Here is an 18,466-nt window from a genome sequence, read left to right on the forward strand (position 1 = left end):
CTTGGTTAGAAAAAGTGTCCTTAACAAGGTCATAATTTAGGCATAAGAAGATTTATATATGTGTTCGTAAGAAAATATATTCTAATCACTGTTTTTGTTGTTCCTGCTATTGTTTATATTTGCTTGTTTGGTTGGTTCTTTTGTTGTTACCTATTCTAGTTTCAATTAGTATATCTTTTACAAGATTATCGACGTTTTGGGGATTTTTAAAGTTGTTTTTGCTACAGATGTGGATATGGAAAGATTAGACAGTTTGGACTTTAGTTTCTTGCAGTCGTTTTTGTTCTTGTTGTTTTTAATTCTCTTTCTTATAGAGTATTAAAAGTTAGCACCAAGTGATTCCGTAAAAGATGCCAACAGCTATCACAAATATGTAATAACAGTGAAGTCTTCTTAAAGCAGTTACTATTAAATTGTTTTCCATCTTACTACCAAAGTTCAAAATGCTGTTTTAAAAGGTGTACTTGGTGAGTTTTATTGATTTTGACCACTGCTGTTCATTTATCAGTTTAACTGAGTTATGGCTCTTTATCACATCTTAGTGCCCAAAACTTGTAACCTGAAAAGAAAAAGAGAGAAAACTTTGTTACTGGCTTTCTGACAATGGCGGGGAGTGTGTTAAACCAGTGTAAAATTCAATTAAACTGTCTAGCCAGGTTTTTGAAGCTGAAATGCAGACCCTTTCTGTTAAGCTTCTTATTTTCCTGTGACCGACACCGGTGGATGCTGGGTTATGCCAAAACCAACAGGCTGTAAAGTACCTTGTTTCATGCTCCCAGCTGATCAATATTTTTATTTTCCAGGCTTGCACAGAAATCTGGAGGCAGTATCACCTAACGGTGAGTAGAAACACCTTTTTTATTTTCCCCAAGACCTAGCCTATTTACCCTTCTCTGAACTGCTGACCATAAAATATAGACAAGCATCTTCTGCTGGAAGATAATAAACATCTGAAGAGTTTTTGTACGGAGAAAGCAATAATACACTTTTTCTCTTTTCCACTGCCCCCTACCCTATCTTCCTGTTCTTAAAAGAATTTGATTTTTTTATTACTCACATCATTTAATGATTACATCATGGTATCTCTTAGTCTTCCAGACTATATTCATTAAATTAAAGGGAAAAAGTATACTGGGAGCCTTAAAGAGTAATAATCCAGTGTCTTTAAAATGTTGTATTATCCACAGTCCACAAGCATTCAGTCCACAGTATCTTCAGTTGCTTTTACTAAAACAGTTACTGATATTTTTCAATGAACCTAGAAAAAGCTTAGTGTATATTTCATATAGAATAATTCAACTGTCATATCCTTAAGCCCTTCTTGACTTATTCAAAATGTATAAATATCTGCTTAATACCATTCAAGTTATTCAATTCCTAGTTTCCTTTTATTGTGATTTTAGGCTAAGTAGAAGCAGAAAATACAGTTTGCTAGAGAATCTAATTGACTGGTGCTCAATATTATGAAGTTAGTTTACTTTTAATGTTCAGCTTAAATCATTTCAGTAATTCACCATAGCCCTACTACTCACTTCTTTTACTGTATTAAATATGTTGTGCTAAGCAACAGACCATTATTCTTTTAATTATTACAGTTATATAACATAATATATATTAATTAAAAGTTGTTAAACATTGTTTCTTAAGGTTTAGCATAGTTAAAAGTTTTGTTTACACAAAGACAGGTTGTAAAAATACAAAGGGCAAAGTTCTTTCAAAACATGACTTCTTATCATTCTCCTTAGAGAAATAAAAAGTAAACCAACAAGTAGACTCAAACTACCTGTCTGTCTGTCACAGGCCCAAGAGGCCATAAATTATATAAGGTGGTTTGTTTTCACATTTTGTGATTACCATTTAATTTTTTTAAAGATTTTCAGTAGAAAGCTGTAACTCCTCAACTATTCCTCAAATCTCAAATTAGGATTTGTTAAAAACTTAAGTGTTATACCCAAAAATATATACATACCCATGTATGTTACACATATATATTACAAATGTAATTCATCTGAATACATTGTTTGTGCTTATGTAGCAGTTTTTTTATCCTATCATAATATAGTGAAATCATTACAGCCTAAACTTAATTAGAATCTAATTATATGTTATACTTTTCAAGATGACAGAGCTACTCTTTGTAACTGTATAAAGTAATATCCTTATAGATTTGACATTGCATTTATTTTAGCTTTTCCCCTAATTTAAACAATTCCAATCTTGAAGTGTAGGAAGTATGATTTTAAAGCTGCTCTTTTGATTATTTACACCTGTGTTCGTTTATATACCTATAGTTAAAGGGTAAAAATTTGTTTCAATGTAACAGAAATATTTGAAGGTTTGCTTAATATTTTAGCTGTTCAGAAACATAAATTTTAAAAAGAATCATTAGGAAAAAATAATACAAAATAAATTTACTTTTTAAGGAATTACAATATATTCTATTTATAGGTATAACAAATTCAATTTGAAAACTTTGTTTGTTCCAATCTGGAATCCTGGTTAATTTTTTAAAATAATATTGAAGTTGCCATCACAGTTTATAAATTATCAAGTTGAAATTAATAATGAGTTTACTATGCAAGTATAAATATAAAACTAGCATGTTTATGAACTTGTGCATATATCAGTGTCTCTAAAATAAAATAGTTAAGTAATTATTTAAATTATCAGTATATGGACAATATCCAAATGTATGCAATGAAGCAATATTCAGTCTTGAATAAAAACAAGATGCATGATGATTTTAGTCATCTTCAGCTCTTTTACTAGGCGATGGACTGCCATCTATTGACTCCTAGTAGCCCTCACACATGAATGTTGAGTCAATCAGCGCAGTGACCAAGTAATGAAGCCTCAGTTAGAATTGTTACTACTTATTCATTTAAACCAGTCTGCTTAAAACTCTGGAGCTTTCTACACTTAAGCATTGATTAATTACTTTTTCTAACCAAAATTGTCATATTTCTTACCCCAAATGATGGCAAAGATGATTAGTATCCAGTTTGGAGATGTTTATATTTGGGAGCTTTACAGTTGCTTTTATCTGCCTCCCAACTAGAGGGTCATTTACAGAACGACTTAAATTTTAACAGTAAATTAATGTTTATCCAGGAGTCGTTTTCTTTAAAAACCAAAAAAGTCTATAGGTTAAACAGAATATTGTTTCTCAAACACATAAGAAAGGTGGTGTAGTTGATTGTTACAAGTGGACTTTTGAAATATTCCAAATAAAAAATTCCTTAAAACACTTTCAGAACTAAGAAGAAAGTTATAGAAGTGTTCACTATTTTCAACAATTTCAAGAAAAATAAAATGAAATATCTTCAACAACCTGTATATGAATATAATAGCTTTTTAATCAGCTAGACTCGACTACATTAATAAAAGCTAAAGACCATCATTCTAAAGGGTTCATGCTAATAAAACTAAAAAGACTACATATACACAAACATCCATATTATAACAACCATCTGGTGACACCATCTTTCTATGTTTTAATGATTCTATAATTATATAATTTAATGTCTTTATCAATTTGGAGACCATGAAAAAAAGAAAAAAATATTGTTTTTACTTAACAAGTACATAATTTCCTCAAATAGTTAATATTTTTACCTCCTTCAAAAATGTTTAGAATGCTTTTAAATGTTTAATAATATAGCTAAAATATAACTTCTTGTATTTTCATTTCTGCTACATTTTCAGATTTTTGTAGAGCCTGACTTTTAATGTTCTTTTTCATCTTTCAAATAACTCATTCTAGATAAAAATTTCCCCCTTTATTCGAGAAAGAATGTCCCTTCCCCCACCCCCTGTCATTTCTACTCTCATTTATATTAAAAATCCTAGGCCAATATGGCCACCAACAGAGTTTTACAACCAACAGAATTTTTAACTAGTAGAGGCTATGATTTGACATGAGTTGGACATTTGGTTAATCTTGTTTTTAATCTACTTACTTTAAAAAGTAACCAGGAGTTTGCTATTTGAGGGCTGTATGTGTTAAGAATCGAAAAGGACAATGCATCTTTTATGTTTAATTTTGCATTTGATTTCTTTGTGTGCATTGTTAAAATGTATTTCAACCCTACTGCCTTTTATTTTAACTGAAGGTTTAAGCAGGAAGCAAATGTAACTGTTTTAGAAGAATTAAGCCTTAATTGTTTTTTTATATATAATGTTTTGAATGCCTAGAATTCACACTTCAAAAAATAGACTATTTGTTATCCGGGAAATGGGGAAGAGTAGAGAAATGAGTGTGCTTGACTTCCTTTCTGGCCTAAGAAAGGCTTATGGCCACAGTTTGTCAGGGTATATCTTATAAACCATAAGTAACAATATTACATTTCATTTTGCCACTTAGTTTTCTGTCCTTACCTGGAAATACCCATTTAGAAATGTATTTTTTGTGTTTTCACAGTTTGGAGTTTTATACTGAGTGAGAATGTTATTCTCTAAAGCATTCTATGCCATACTACAGAGTGGGTACCCCTAAATGTCAACAGATTTGGATTTAACTCTAGAACTATGTTTTACACTCCAGAAGGAAGGAATAAGAAGGTGGTTTTGGTTCTGAGACTATAGCTATGCAAAAGCCTTTATCCTGAGATTGTGATGTAAGATAGGATAGATAATTTTCTAATTGCCTAATGCTAATATGGAATGTTTTTCCTTTAAAATAACTTAAAATGTGAAATGAAGAGATTCAAAAAGTCAGCCAGAATCTTTTCTTTTCCTGGTTAATTGGATATATGTTGGGATTCCTAAATATCTTTCTGAGAGGTCCTTGGCTACATAAGCAGATCTGTAAAAACCATAATAACCCCATCCACACAGTAGATATCAAGTGATAGGTCTGTTTTTCTCTGTGTGCGCTTTGGTGTGTTTAAGAAAATAGAACTGGTTACATACTGTCTTGTAAAATGCTATCTAAACACCATTTTTATTGGTACCATTTTTGAGGCCTAGCACATAGGTTTTCATAAGCTAATACATTATAAGTTCATTTTGGAAGCTTTTGTTTTGGTAGTTCAACTTACTTTGCCTACTTCCTCAAGAACCAGAAATACTCTTGTATAAATTATAGTTTTTTTCCTCTGTATCTGGTATTGCTGTTTTAATGTTTTGATTGATCAGGTGTTGCTATTGAGACATTACATCTCTGCCAAATTGTCAGAGGTTTAGTTTTCATTTAAAATGCCCTTAGTACTAAAATACTACTGAGGTGAACGTGATTGTGCTCTGATCATTCAGAAGGCACATGACTCTTTTGTAGTGCTTCAGAGCCATCTTTCCATTATAGTACTATAAAATAAATCAGACTGGTTTATCTTTTGAGTTACTTGGTGTTTGAATAACAAGATTTTTTTTTTGAATAAGCATTGATGACTTGTAATAGTCCATCTCTGATAACAGAGATGGAAAATACATTTGGAGAATGACTAAAATTTTTAAAGATTTTTCAAATGCAAAATTTATATGAATAGTTTTATGTTATTTAAATACTTATCTTGTTCTTAAAGAATTTGCTGTTAAAATTATCATCATAATTTTTACTTCAGTCTTCTCATATTTTGAGTTTAGTAGGAATGATAATTACTACATTTACAGAGTAAGTCAACTGATTTTTTTTTTTAATCTTTATTTCACTGGCATGTGGAACCACATTTTGCCAGAACTTATCATTGGAAAATGCAATTTCAAAGCAAATGAAACCTGGAATTATCAATCTCAATAAATGAGATTCTTTTAAAAATAAATAAAATTTGCTAAATCATCAAAAAGCAATTTTCTAAAGCTACTGTAAAGGAAAGGGGGAAAAATGAATGTTGTGAATTATAAATGCATGTTATTTTTCCTCACATAACATTTCCTCAGATATTTAGAAATTGTATGTATGCATATTTATTTGTGAATGGAGTTAGAATAAGATCATTTAGATTTGGGTGTAATTTTTATTTATTGGAGCACTTGTGAGAACCTTAGTATTTTCTTCTTTACAAAGAAATACTGAAGTGTTCACTCCTTCAATTCTGAAGTTACTTGATTCTCAGTATTTTAATGCAAATACTAATTTGGTTTAAATGGGAAATCAATATGGCATATTTTGCATAGTTTTTTCCTTGCATTAATATATTTAGATAATATCAAGTACTTTATGATGGTAATCCTAATGTAGATTTAAGTGTTTCAGATAATGAAGCAATGAGAAGTATGCAGCCTTCACTCAATTTAGGAAAGATTTATCATAAATGTTTTGGCATAGAAGCAGCTGTGCTTTTGCCATCTTCTAAATATCTTTAATGACCTACTCACTAGTCATCATGAATTTGGCTCATATTTTTAGATATTAGATGTTCAATAATCAAATAATTGAATCTGAAGTTCTACTATAAATAGTGACTTCCTTTCTTTATTTGACGGAAAAAGTCCCTGTGCTTTTTATTCCTGCCCCTAGTGGCTAGGGGCAAAGACCAGTATATTTAGGACTTAAATATGTCTCACATGGCCTTAAAGTTGTACTTCTGTTTTAAAAATGGAAAGAAGTACTTGTTGTGGTCATCTGTTTTCTTATCTGTTAACAAATGTTTATCCTGAGGATGACAAATGGAGCATCACGTTTGCACTTTTTTTTATTACCCTTTCCTCTCTTCCCCATGTGTGTTCAGCATTACTTAGAAAGGAATTATAGTTAGTCATTATAGGGACAATTTATTCTTGATTATTAAATACTGTGGTAATTAAATTTCATTTCTAAGTGCTTCTTGTTTTAACATATATAACACACTTTAAAAATCTTTTTTAAAACCCACAGTATTCATATAATCTCAAAGAAAACTACATTTCTTTCTTTAAAAAAATTAAAATATGGAACACTTCATGAATTTGCGTGTCATTCTTGCTCAGGGACAAAACTACGTTTCTTTTTACTTGCAACTCTGCACTTTTAAAGAGTGACCCTATTACAATAAAAATGAGTATAAATATAAACAAATAGTCTTAGATTTTCCAAAATTAATACAGTTTACCATTGTACAGTATCTAACTATATAATAAATTAACAGTTTTAAAATCTTGAGTGATGCCAATTCTTTGTCGTGTTACGTACACATAAAGAGTGTAGAAGTATTATGTAGATAACTTTAGCATATTCAAGTGATTATTTCGCATATGTGCTTTGAACAGGTATTTCATGCCATTTATTAATTATATTCCGAGTGATCAAACTTGTCATAGTCTTTTCTAGACATTTCAGTCCAACAGTAAATGTAGATAAAATATACTAGAGCATTGATATTTGTATTAGACATTCATTTTGGTAGTCATGCATGTGAGTGACATGGTAGATTACAGTAATTCCTAAAGGTCTGAAGTATTTAGGAATCAATTAATTACTCACAATCATGATCAACCATAACCTTTAAGGGTTTGGATCGATCGTTTGAATAATCTGCAGGAAAAGACTCCTTGACTTGTTAACATGAACAGTCTCTCTGAACTAGTGTTATATTTTCTGTTACAAGCTGTGGTGATAAACTTAAGTTTTAGGTTTCAAAAGCACAGTCTTTTCAGTGACTGAAAGTTAATGAATTATTGTTAAAATCAGTCAGATTTTAGACTTAAAATTTATCAGTCATTTGATCCCTATATATCAGAAATTCAAGGGTGTTATGTGTGGGTTTTTTGGTACATTTATAAGTATTTTCTTCCAGCTATTTTGAGTTGGTGCAATGATCCTCCAAGACCAACAACTCTGGTGTTTAAGAAATACCGAAAACAAGTGAAGAAATATATTACCTCTTTAGAAAGCATTTAACAAAAAAAAGTTTAATATCTTTGGGATTAAATTAGAACTTCACCTTAATTGGTACACCAGTACATAGATACCGCACATTTCAAAACAAGAATTATTTAAAGTGAGTGTTTAGAAATTTTTATTAGCTTTGTAAAAGGAATGCACATGTGTGTATCAACTGGTAATAAAGCTACTAGATAATTTTCATTCCATTTTTCAATAATCATGTAGAACTGAATCCATTGGGTAAATTATAAGATCATCTTTATAATTTTGTAATACATCCATTTTACATAGATATGTTTCTTTACATTGATTTGTGGATTACCCCACATTTTTGTTCAGTTAGGAAAACTAAGTTTTGGGTTGTGTCTTAACTTTGTTTATACAATATCAATTTTGTTTTCTTGGATCTCTCACATTTCCTTTGTTTACAGTTGTACATTTCCTCCCTGTTTTTACCAGGCCTTAGAAAACTGTGCTATACAGTTGGGCCAGAAGGGCAAGCAAATTTCTGAGGAAATTACTAGGTGGCATTTTTTTTTATCATAATAGAGAAAAGAATGCCAGCTTTGGGATTGGACTGTGGTTCAGAGTCTGAGTCTTTCGTCATATACTAAATGTGCAAACATAGTTAAAATATTTAACTTCTAAAGCCCTCAGTTTCTTCATCTGAAAAATGGGGATAATGCCTTGTAGGATTTTGTTAAGTATACGATGAGATGATAAATATAAAATACAATACCTGACAGACAGAGCATGTTAAACACTATGCAGGCTGTACTACAGCAAACCCAAAGGCATCTCACACCTGTGGAGATGGCCTCTGGACTGACGTCCCAAACTCAGGTTATTATAATGTCTTCTGCCCAACATTAGGAGATTCCTAAGGACCTCTTTACTCTGTCTCCTAACAATGTTTCCTTCTTATATTTATTGAAGGGAATCTTTTGTTGACAAAATTATTTACCTCAGTTTTCATTTTCTAATTATTTATACTTGTCTTATTCTTTTCCATTTAGGCTACTTCCTTTCCTAATGAAAATAACTATATAAAATGTGTATCATAAAAATGCAATATCACTTTGAAAATACATATTAATAAATGTGTGAGTCTTAAGTGATAACTTCAGTACCATCTGAATATAGTTCTCTATCATAAGCAAATAAATTATATAAATATTTGCTCTCTATACAAATGATGAGAATAAAACGAAATTGAAAAATTCACCCAAACATAAACATACCCCAATTAGAATACTTTCTGCTAGGGGTAGAGGGCTTATGTTAATCAGATAAGAAATGAAACAAAATAGCATAGCAGTTTTTTGCACTTTAGGTAAAACTACTTTATGCCTTCACATGATTAACACCAAAAACCAGCCTGATTTCATAGCAAAATGTAGTGGTATAAGAGCTGGGTCAGTTCTGCAGACTTCCAGCTGTATTCTCAGATACGTCCAGCGAAAAAGGCAACTCAAACTTAAGCACTTTATCAGTACATGCAGTTTGTATTCTTTCAAAGAGCATTCCTATTTCATGTTTGTTCCTTGTTTTAAGACAAGCAAAGGCTCAGATGGAACATATTGTAAAAGCAAAAGAACATTACTTCCCCCTTCTAACAGGTCCTTGCAGCTGTGGAATTCCCTGCCTTTGTGATCGATGGTTAAGAGTATTACAGTGGAATAAGCAGAGTTGGGATGGCAGGTGGTGGGAGGGCCATGTGTTGTAAGTCATGTGGAGTTATGGTAAAAATGAAAATCTTGGGGTTTATTTGGATCCCCCATGTATTAGCTAATAAACGTAATAGAGCTATGGTTCTATTCTTTTATAATTTTTTTATTGGGGTTCATGTACAATCACATGCAAAATATAGTAGCAGATTTGAATATGTTAAGCATTTTGTATGGTTGGAAGATGTATATTAGTGTGATTTCTGTGTTTTATAGTCTAGCCCAATAAACATTCAGATAAAATGTCCATGGATTTACACATTTATGTGTTCTTTTCTGTCCCTTCCCCCTACATCCTGTCTCCATGCCTTCATCCCTCTATCCTGCATCAAAGCTTGTGGTCCTTCTCCATCCATGTACTAAATGGTTTCTTTGTAAACCAAGCCATTTGTCCATCATTGTTTGGGGTCCAAACAGTGGTAAGATACCCTGTCACCGATCCCGCATGCTATGAATGGCAGCTCCTCTCCGGACAATTGGCGGAGGGGCCGAGAAATATTCCTGAGAGGATTATTTAACCTTTCAATTTAGAGGGCACAAAGCCTGGCTGATTAATGAACTTTCTGATGGGTGCCGATAAGCGGATCTATTTCTTTATTTCCCCTAAAAGTGATTCCTTCTTCTGTCCATATTACTATAATCTTAAACATAAAATGTGGCAAATAGATTAAAAAACAGCACTAAAGAGTTTATCTGGCTGGCAAACTGAAGGAGCTAAATTAAAATTGGTAATGACAGCAGTGGCTCAGCCTCATATATGGTTTTTAAATGCACTGTGTATTTTGAAGAGACTTATTCTCCAGCTCGCCTGGTAATGACTGCTTTTGGTGCACAGTCTGGGGCTGGCTTCTGTTATCCCACCCCACCCTACCCACCCACCCCCCCCCCCCCCAAAAAAAATGAGTTGTGTTATCTGGATGGCTGCAGACACATACGCATCCCCCTTTCTCACTGCATGGGCAGACAAGGTCGATAGCATTACAAGGTATTTGTGGCAGTGCTTGTTTCAGTTTTCAGAGCTGCCAGTTTCCAGGCGGATTTGAATTACAAAAGAAGAAGCTGGCATGAAAATTGAAAGGTTTTATCGGCTGGTCTGAAGCCTCATAGCACATTGCTTATTTATGCAGTCCATTTGCACCAGGAAATATAAAAAGGAAATACATTTTTAAAATAAGGCCATAAAGACTCAGATATGTTTAAGATGGCAAATAAAATATAGATACCTATAATATCTTTCCAGGAAACGATTTTCACTTAATGTTGCACATTACTTCAGAAGAGCATTTATGTTGCTGTCATAAATTTGTGCGTTTGTGTCACTATGTAGGTAGTCTCTGGGGATTAAGAAGGAAGCCTTTGCTAACTTACTTTAAAATTAAAATAGACGGAGGGATAGCTCTGCAGTTTGAGAGCTACATTGGAAATATTTAAATAGGGTGGTATATTAAACTTAAACTAACATTTTTGCATTCCATGTAAAATTAGCTATGGCCCAATGAATAAATGCTACTACCTTTAGAGAAAATTGGGATGCTTTTTAAGCCATGAAGATTTGGAGCATTCAGGAAGTGAATTACTCTGATCCTTACTGTGTTGCGTGTGTTCATTGTTCTCTGCTTACTGAGGTTTTCTTTCTGTTGTTGGAGTTGTTTTGATAGGGGGAGTGTCCTGTTTACAAAAAGAAAGGTTATAAATTAATAAGCTTAATAGCTCATTTTTATAAAACTCGTGCTTCTTTTTAGTTTTCAGATATATTTTAGATTTTGCATAGTGGTTAATGTTGTGAATATATAACCCTTTCACTATTGGAAGTTATACCAATAATTTATATCTATTTACATTACTTTAATGTAGTTTTCGATTTACTGAAAAAGATACAATGATGTAATCCCTTATACTCTTGACTACATAAAATGAAGACATAAGTATACAAACATAAAGTAGTGCAAGACCTTGAGTGATTGGTCATTCGCAGCTTTTCAACCCATTGGTTTATAAAATTTCAGTGTATCCAAAAGAGAAGTAGGGAGGAAGTTACAGAGATACAGGAAATATCAAATAACTAAAGCAACACACGTTATTCTGCAGTTCAAATGAACACTCTTTAAGAATCTTTTTTCCAATATGGCAAATTACTCTCAGGTAAACCATGAGAGATGCATTTTTTTACTATTTTTATTTTCACTATTTTTACCAGTATCTGGGTACCTTTCCCATGTTTTCACGACCTCGACTAATTACTTCATGTAGTTGTTTTTTGTTTTCTTTTTAAACAGAGAAAATATCAAAAGCATACATGTCTGTTGCATGCTAATGATGTGCTGTACATTTTTTCATGAATTTTCATAAGGATTTTTTCTACGTAGCATGTGTGGCTTAATGATGTAATCACCCGATAGACTAGAAAATGCTCCAAAGGAGACGTTCCGGTCTGTTGTGTACATAATACATGTTTCAAAAATCTGCCTAATTAAGGAATTACCCAATGGATTGGGAGTCTGTTGGGTACATGACATGGTTTTTTAACACATAAAAGTATTATGTATATATGGTACACATGGTACTTTTAATGCCATTTTTAACATATGAGGAAAATTAGTAGCAATGTCCACTAGAATACAGGGGAATTCTGTTTTTTCACTAAGCAAAAATAAAAGCTTTAAAAACAGCACTCTTTTAAAATAATTCTAAAGCCATTAGCTTGGAGAAAATTCCTCCTAGTATTCCTGAAAGGGAAGTAATACTGTCAATATTTGCCAGAACAGTGTACAAATGGAAGACTTTGTCCAAAACCTCAGTTGAAGTAGGCCTAGAGTTCAGGTCCCAGGTGTGAGGATCCACCTCAGAAAAACACCTTAAAGGGAGGAAAGGGAACAGTTTTTGGCTTTTTTGTAACACAGCATCATCTTTGTTGTCTCACAGCCTCTGCTTTGGTTCAGTTCACTATAAAACAGTTTGCCTAACTTTTAGGTTTCTTTATTTGATTCTTTTAGGCATAAATTGATTTGGAAATATGAAAGAATAAGGTTGTTCTCAAACATGAAAATCATATTGATTGAAGAGGTGCCTAGGCACATGTGATTTAGTCAGTAAGATTGGAGCCAAGCTCTACTTTTCTCAGTGTTATATTTGGTTATGAATGCATTTACCTCAGGTATTTAATATATTTGCTTTTTAATATATGTCATATAGCAAACTGGATTAATAAATAGAAACACATAGTGTAGTCTTTAAGCATATGTGTGATTATAAAAATAAATCCATTTTGCATTCACAGAATAGAAAATACCCTTTAATTAGTGAAATTGATTACATATCGTATATAGTAATGAGCTTCAGCTAGATGCAAGCCCTCATTGGATCAAAGTCAGTTTAGATAAGGGCAGCTGAAGGTCACAGAGGGAGATGCCCAGCAGGTTCATTTGCATAAAAAATTACTGTTAGAAATAGGACACTGAGGCAGCTCTAGCATTTTGATCTCTTGGCCTTTGTCATGGAGATTCCTAGTAGTGAAGGGAGTAAGGCCAGTGTCCCAGATAATGATTAACTGTTTTAATGGCATTCATTCATTCATTCCACACTAACTACTCATGCAGAAAAAAGGGTTATGTAAAATGACATTAGAAGAAAATCATTTGTAATCGTTGCATCGGGCTGCACTTTGAGGAGACATTAGGAGTAAATCCGTGGCGTGGTAGGCTTATGCTTTATCTTCTGATATTTACTGAGTTTACTGGTGCATGAAAAGCTTTCAGCAAGAATAGCAGATGGGATGGACCTTTCATAGGTAATGCTATCTACCAGGTTATTACTTCTATATATTGATAGTAAAGTAATCTCCAAGATATCACCCTACAAATATAGATTATTTAAATGTCTGCAACCAAAAAAAAAAAAAGAAATACAAAAGGCCTGCTTTTATAAGTAATTAATTTGGTATCCGTTGGGTCAAAGTCTTTAGATGAAATTTTGACTTAAAAAAGTTCACAAAAACTACATTCATTGCCTTGCATTTAACTTTTTGTCAGCAGTACAGGCACGTATGACAGAACACTGAACTTAGAGCTAATCAGTTGACACATTCTGCTTTAAATTGGACCTTTACTGTTAATTAAAAATAAAGACATGCTCCAAGGCATAAGTATTGAGTCACAAATTTATATTTCTAACACAATAGCTTAGAGATTTTTGTTAGATCATAGTATGAAAACTTGTCCACTGGAAACCACTATTGAGTTTTCAGTAGTGTATTCTAATACAGAAATGTTCTCTAATTAGGTAAGATCTAGGCTGATTTCATTCCTATTAAGCCCTAGTACATGATAGTTTATTAAAATGAGAGTATGTAGATAGCGTTTGTCATGTCATTTACTAATTAATTATTGTGAAACAGTTTAGAATTTCATAGCACAATATACTGTTGCTATTTTTATTAGTAATAATGGAAGTTTTTAACTACTGACATTATTCAGATGAATGAACATCCACATGTTTACATTTCTTTCAGGGGCTAAATTTGAGATTCCTTTAAAATAAAATAAGAAGTGTCAACATGAAACATGCTTTCAAAATCTCGATTAAGAAGGATCTCTTTGTCCCTGGTACTGTAAGACTGAGTTCCTGTTCACTTGGCATTACTAATTCCTTCCTGATTTTGTCAGAGTATATACCACATTCTCAGTGTGAAGTAGGGGAGACAATAAGGAAGCTGTATTATTAATTTATTCAAGCTTTTTAATATATTTAAGCATGATTTGATAGGTTTTCCCTTAATGACATAAAAAATTAATAGTTTCCCAAAGTATGCAAGTTTTTATTAACAAGAGCTAAATCATATTGGATGATTACTGTAGGCCATGTGCTTTACTTATGCATTACCTCATTATTCATTCATTAATATTTACTGAACTACTACTATATGCCTGGCCCTATTCCAGGAGCTGAAGTACAGCAGTGAACAAAAACAGACAAAAATCCCTGCCCTCACAGAACTTACTTTCTCCTAGCCTGGGGATGGGGTTGGGAGTGGATAGGTAGTAAACTATATAGTATGTCAGATATGATAAGTGCCATGTTGAGTTTTGTTTGGTTGGTTGGTTGGTTGGTTGGTCTTTTTAAAATAAAATGGCAGTACAGCAGGATAGGGAGTACAGATTGGAGGGAGCTAGCCATTTTAAATAGGGTGCTCAGGAAGGCCTTACTGAGATGACATTTGAGCCAAGGCTTGAAGGAAGTGAAGGAGTGCACTATATTAAATCTGGGAGAAGAGTGATGCAGGCAGATCAAGTAGCTGGTGCAAAGCGCTGAGGTGGAAGTTTGTCTGGGGTATTCAGAGAACAGTGAAAAGGCCAGCATGACAGGCTTGCTGTGAGGGAAAGTAGTAGGAGATGAGGTTAGAGAGGTGGGAGGATGCAAATTACAGGCCATTGTAAAGTTTTTGGCTTTTTCTCTGAGATGAGAAGCTGTTAGAGAGTTTTGAGCTGAAGAGTGGTATGTTCTGATTTGCAGGCTATAAGGATCATCTTTGGTTTAGAGTATGTTGTAGAGGGCAGGGATAGAAGCGGAGAGACCAGTTATGATGTTCTTGTAATCATCCAAACGAGAGTTGAGTAATTGGACCAGGACAGTACTGGTAGAGTGGAAAGAGGTGGATGTATTTGCAGAGCCAACAAGCTTTGCTGATGGGCTGGGTATGAGGTATAAGCAAGAGACAAGTTAAGGTTGTTCGTTTTTGGCCTAAGAAACTGGAAGGACAAAGTTGCCGATGAGATGGGAAAGATTTTGGGAGGAACATATTTGGGGTGGGGGAAGAACAGGATTTGATTTTAACTAACTAAATTTGAGGTGCCTGTTCGACATTCTAGTAGAGATACGTGAGTGTAGAGTTAACAGAGATCAAGGCTGAAGATAGAATTTTAGAATGGCAAGCGAAAAGGTTAATGTAAATCTATACTATTAGATGAGAGCAGATTCAATAGAGAAGAAAAGCAGTCTAAGGACTGAGCCCTGGGGCACTGCAGTGTAATTGGACAGAGAGATGGATAGAAGCCAACAAAGGAGACTGCAGAAGAAATAGCCTATGAGGTGGAAGAAAACTAGGAGAGCGTGTTGTCTGGGAAGCTAAGTGAAGAATCTGTTGCAAGAGGAAGTGATCACCTGGTCAGGTTTTACTGATAGGTTGTTATGTAAGATGAGTATGTTTCATTTATGCCTCACAGCAGTGTTAATGAGGGAGCACTCTTACTGTTATTATTCCCGTTTTACAGATGAGTAAAATGAAGGAAAGACCATGTAAATAACTTGACTAAGGTCACATAGTCAGTAAATAGTGGAGCCCACATTAGAACATAATCCCAAAATGCATTGGATAAATAAATTTTATCAGAGCATCTGGGTCTTAGGAAGAGTTTGCCAATTTTGCCCTTGATTGCCCCCAGTCGTTAAAATACTTTTCTTCCATGCTTTTTCTTTGAATAAGCCAAACATAATCTTTGTATTATGTGTGTGTACATATATAGTACATGCGCATAGCCATACACTTGTATATGCCTGTACTGTCTCTGTGAACACGAGAATCTCGTAACAGTAATTGCCGTTGAGGAAAGGGGAACTGAGTGAGAACAGAAGTGGGAGACAGACTTCTCACCACACCTCTTAGTGTCTTTTGAATTGTGTGCCATGTGCATGTTACTGATTGTAAAATATTTCATTCTTTAAAATCTAAATAACTCATTTAGGATTCATTCTATAGCAGCAAGACATATGATTTGTTCTTTCAGGCTCTGGCCTAACAGCATCTCAGAAGAAATTGTGCTGATGCAGTTTTTTAGTAGAAAATATGTATTTGATGCACACTTAATTCCATTTTGTAGGCCTCAGCCTCCCTAGTGCTTTCATCTTTAAAATCTTTACTATATTTGCTCTTTCATCTATTATCTCCGTATTCCTCGCAGTGTCTATTACAATGTGTTGTACAAAGTAGGAACTCAATAACTTTTGAATGAAAAATTCCTACTAAGGGATAAATCATGAGAACTACCTGTTATTTCCTCAAATTTAGGCAATAAAGTAACTAAATTCGGAAAAATTCCATGAAACTTTTTCTCAGGCACTCAATTAGTAGCAGAGATTTTCAGTGTTTGTATCTACTTTCACCACCTTTATTGGTGCATAACTTATTTCCACTCTCTGTTGAAGTCCTTAATACCTACTCATTCACCACCTATTTGTTTGTTGAGCACTTCCTATGTTCTAGGTCAGGGGTCAGCAAACTTTTTCTATAAAGAGCCAGGTAGTAAATATTTTAGCCTGGCAGGCCATATGGTCTCTGTTATAACTCTATCCTTATAGTATGAAATCAACCATAGAAAATTTGTAAACTAATATGTGTGCCTGTGTTCCAATAAAACTTTATAGACACTGCAATTTGAATTTCACATAATTTTCATGTGTTGCAAACTATTCTGTGGTGATTATTATTATTTTAGCCATTAAAAAATGTAAAACCAGCTGGGCACAGTGGTTCAGTTCTGTAATCCTAGTGCTTTTGGAGGCCAAGTCAGGAGGATTGCTTGAGCCCAGGAGTTCGAGACCAGCCTCAGCAGCATAGCAAGACCCCCATCTCCTAAAAACCTTAAATTAAAAGATAAGTTATGTCTTATATTTGCACAAACAAACATAAATAGAAATATTTGTGAACATAGACCTTTTCAGAGAGCATTTATTATTTGGAGAGTGGATGATCCTTTTTATCATCACAATCCCTGCTGACAGCTACCAACTAGTTATTGATCACCTACCATTAGCTTCAAACCCATCATGGGCATCCCATGCCACTTAAAACAAATCCGATATTCTTCACCCTAATTTATAAAGCCCTAAGTGATCTGGTCCCTCCCTGTCCTCTAGAGCCTCCTCTTTCACTCTTCCTTCACCTACTCCACTTCCAAATTTACAGGTATTTTTTTCAAATCCTCAAATTTGGTAAGTTTGTTCCTACCATAGGACTCGGTACTACTCGTTCCCCATGCCTTACGCCAAGAGTGGTGTTTCCCAGACATCACATACATGGCTTTTCTTGTTATGAGAAAGGACCTTCCTAGTTGAGGCTTCCCCCAAAAAGTCAATCTAAGTCATCACTAGTGATTCTCATTCATATAACTATTTTAATTGTTTGCATACTATTTTTCGCTAATATTTTGTATGTTTGTGTATTATTGGCTCTATTTATCTTCCACCACTGGAGATGTGAGCAATGACTTTTATCTTGCTCACTTCTCAGTTACCTGATCTTAGAACAATATCTGGCATGTATTAGGCCCTCAATAATTATTTTTTGAACAAATTAATGAAGGAATGCATGCATACACTCATGCCATGGGCCCAGCACTCTGGTAAATCTCCCTGATGGAGGCATCCTTCGACTTGTATTCTGCTCTACTTGTCCCCTTCCCTTCTTGCATACACAGCCTAGTTTCTAGGAAAAGTGACCTATGTTCTGTTCTTCAGCAGCTTTCTACTTATAATAAATCCATTACAATCTGGCTTGTACCTCTACCCCTCGAAAGAAACTACTCACAATAGTTTCTCCACTTGCCAACAACTTCCTATTTGCTAAGTCCAGTGGATTTCATAGTCTTCATCTTATATAACCCATCAGTAGCTTTTAACAGTTTCTTCCTTGAAACATCCATTCTGCCTTCATATCTATGACATCATCTCTTTTGTTTTTATTTCTCTTAAGCCATGTATGCTTGTGGCTGCAATTTGATGTCACGTCAAATAATATAGCTGTCTTTGTGGGTGGAAAATCATTTCTGCTTAATAATTTCATGTCTTCACAGTGTTCTATCTGAAGAAATTTGTGAACCACTGCAATAAGGGATACATGGCTTACATGCGTACCTGTTAAAACTCTGTTTAGGCTGGGTGTGGTGGC

The 18,466-nt window shown here is 33.8% G+C and overlaps 1 protein-coding gene and 1 pseudogene across 19 annotated transcripts in view; one reads left to right on the forward strand and one right to left on the reverse strand.

Annotated features, from left to right (window-relative positions):
• The window catches only part of ZCCHC7 (zinc finger CCHC-type containing 7), a 237,983-nt gene that overhangs the window by 206,829 nt on the left and 12,688 nt on the right, over positions 1-18,466 (forward strand). For all 19 annotated transcript variants that reach the window (NR_110317.1, XM_005251612.4, XM_024447691.2 and 16 more), the window contains one exon: positions 804-839. Coding sequence is in view for 18 of the 19 variants with exons in the window: in XM_005251612.4 (XP_005251669.1) it covers positions 804-839 (36 nt within the window). In the remaining variant the exon portion in view is untranslated. The remainder of the gene's footprint in view (positions 1-803; positions 840-18,466) is intronic.
• RNU6-677P (RNA, U6 small nuclear 677, pseudogene) lies at positions 6,862-6,962 on the reverse strand (annotated as a pseudogene).

Source organism: Homo sapiens, chromosome 9 (assembly GCF_000001405.40).
Source record: "Homo sapiens chromosome 9, GRCh38.p14 Primary Assembly".
Lineage (NCBI taxonomy): Eukaryota > Metazoa > Chordata > Mammalia > Primates > Hominidae > Homo > Homo sapiens.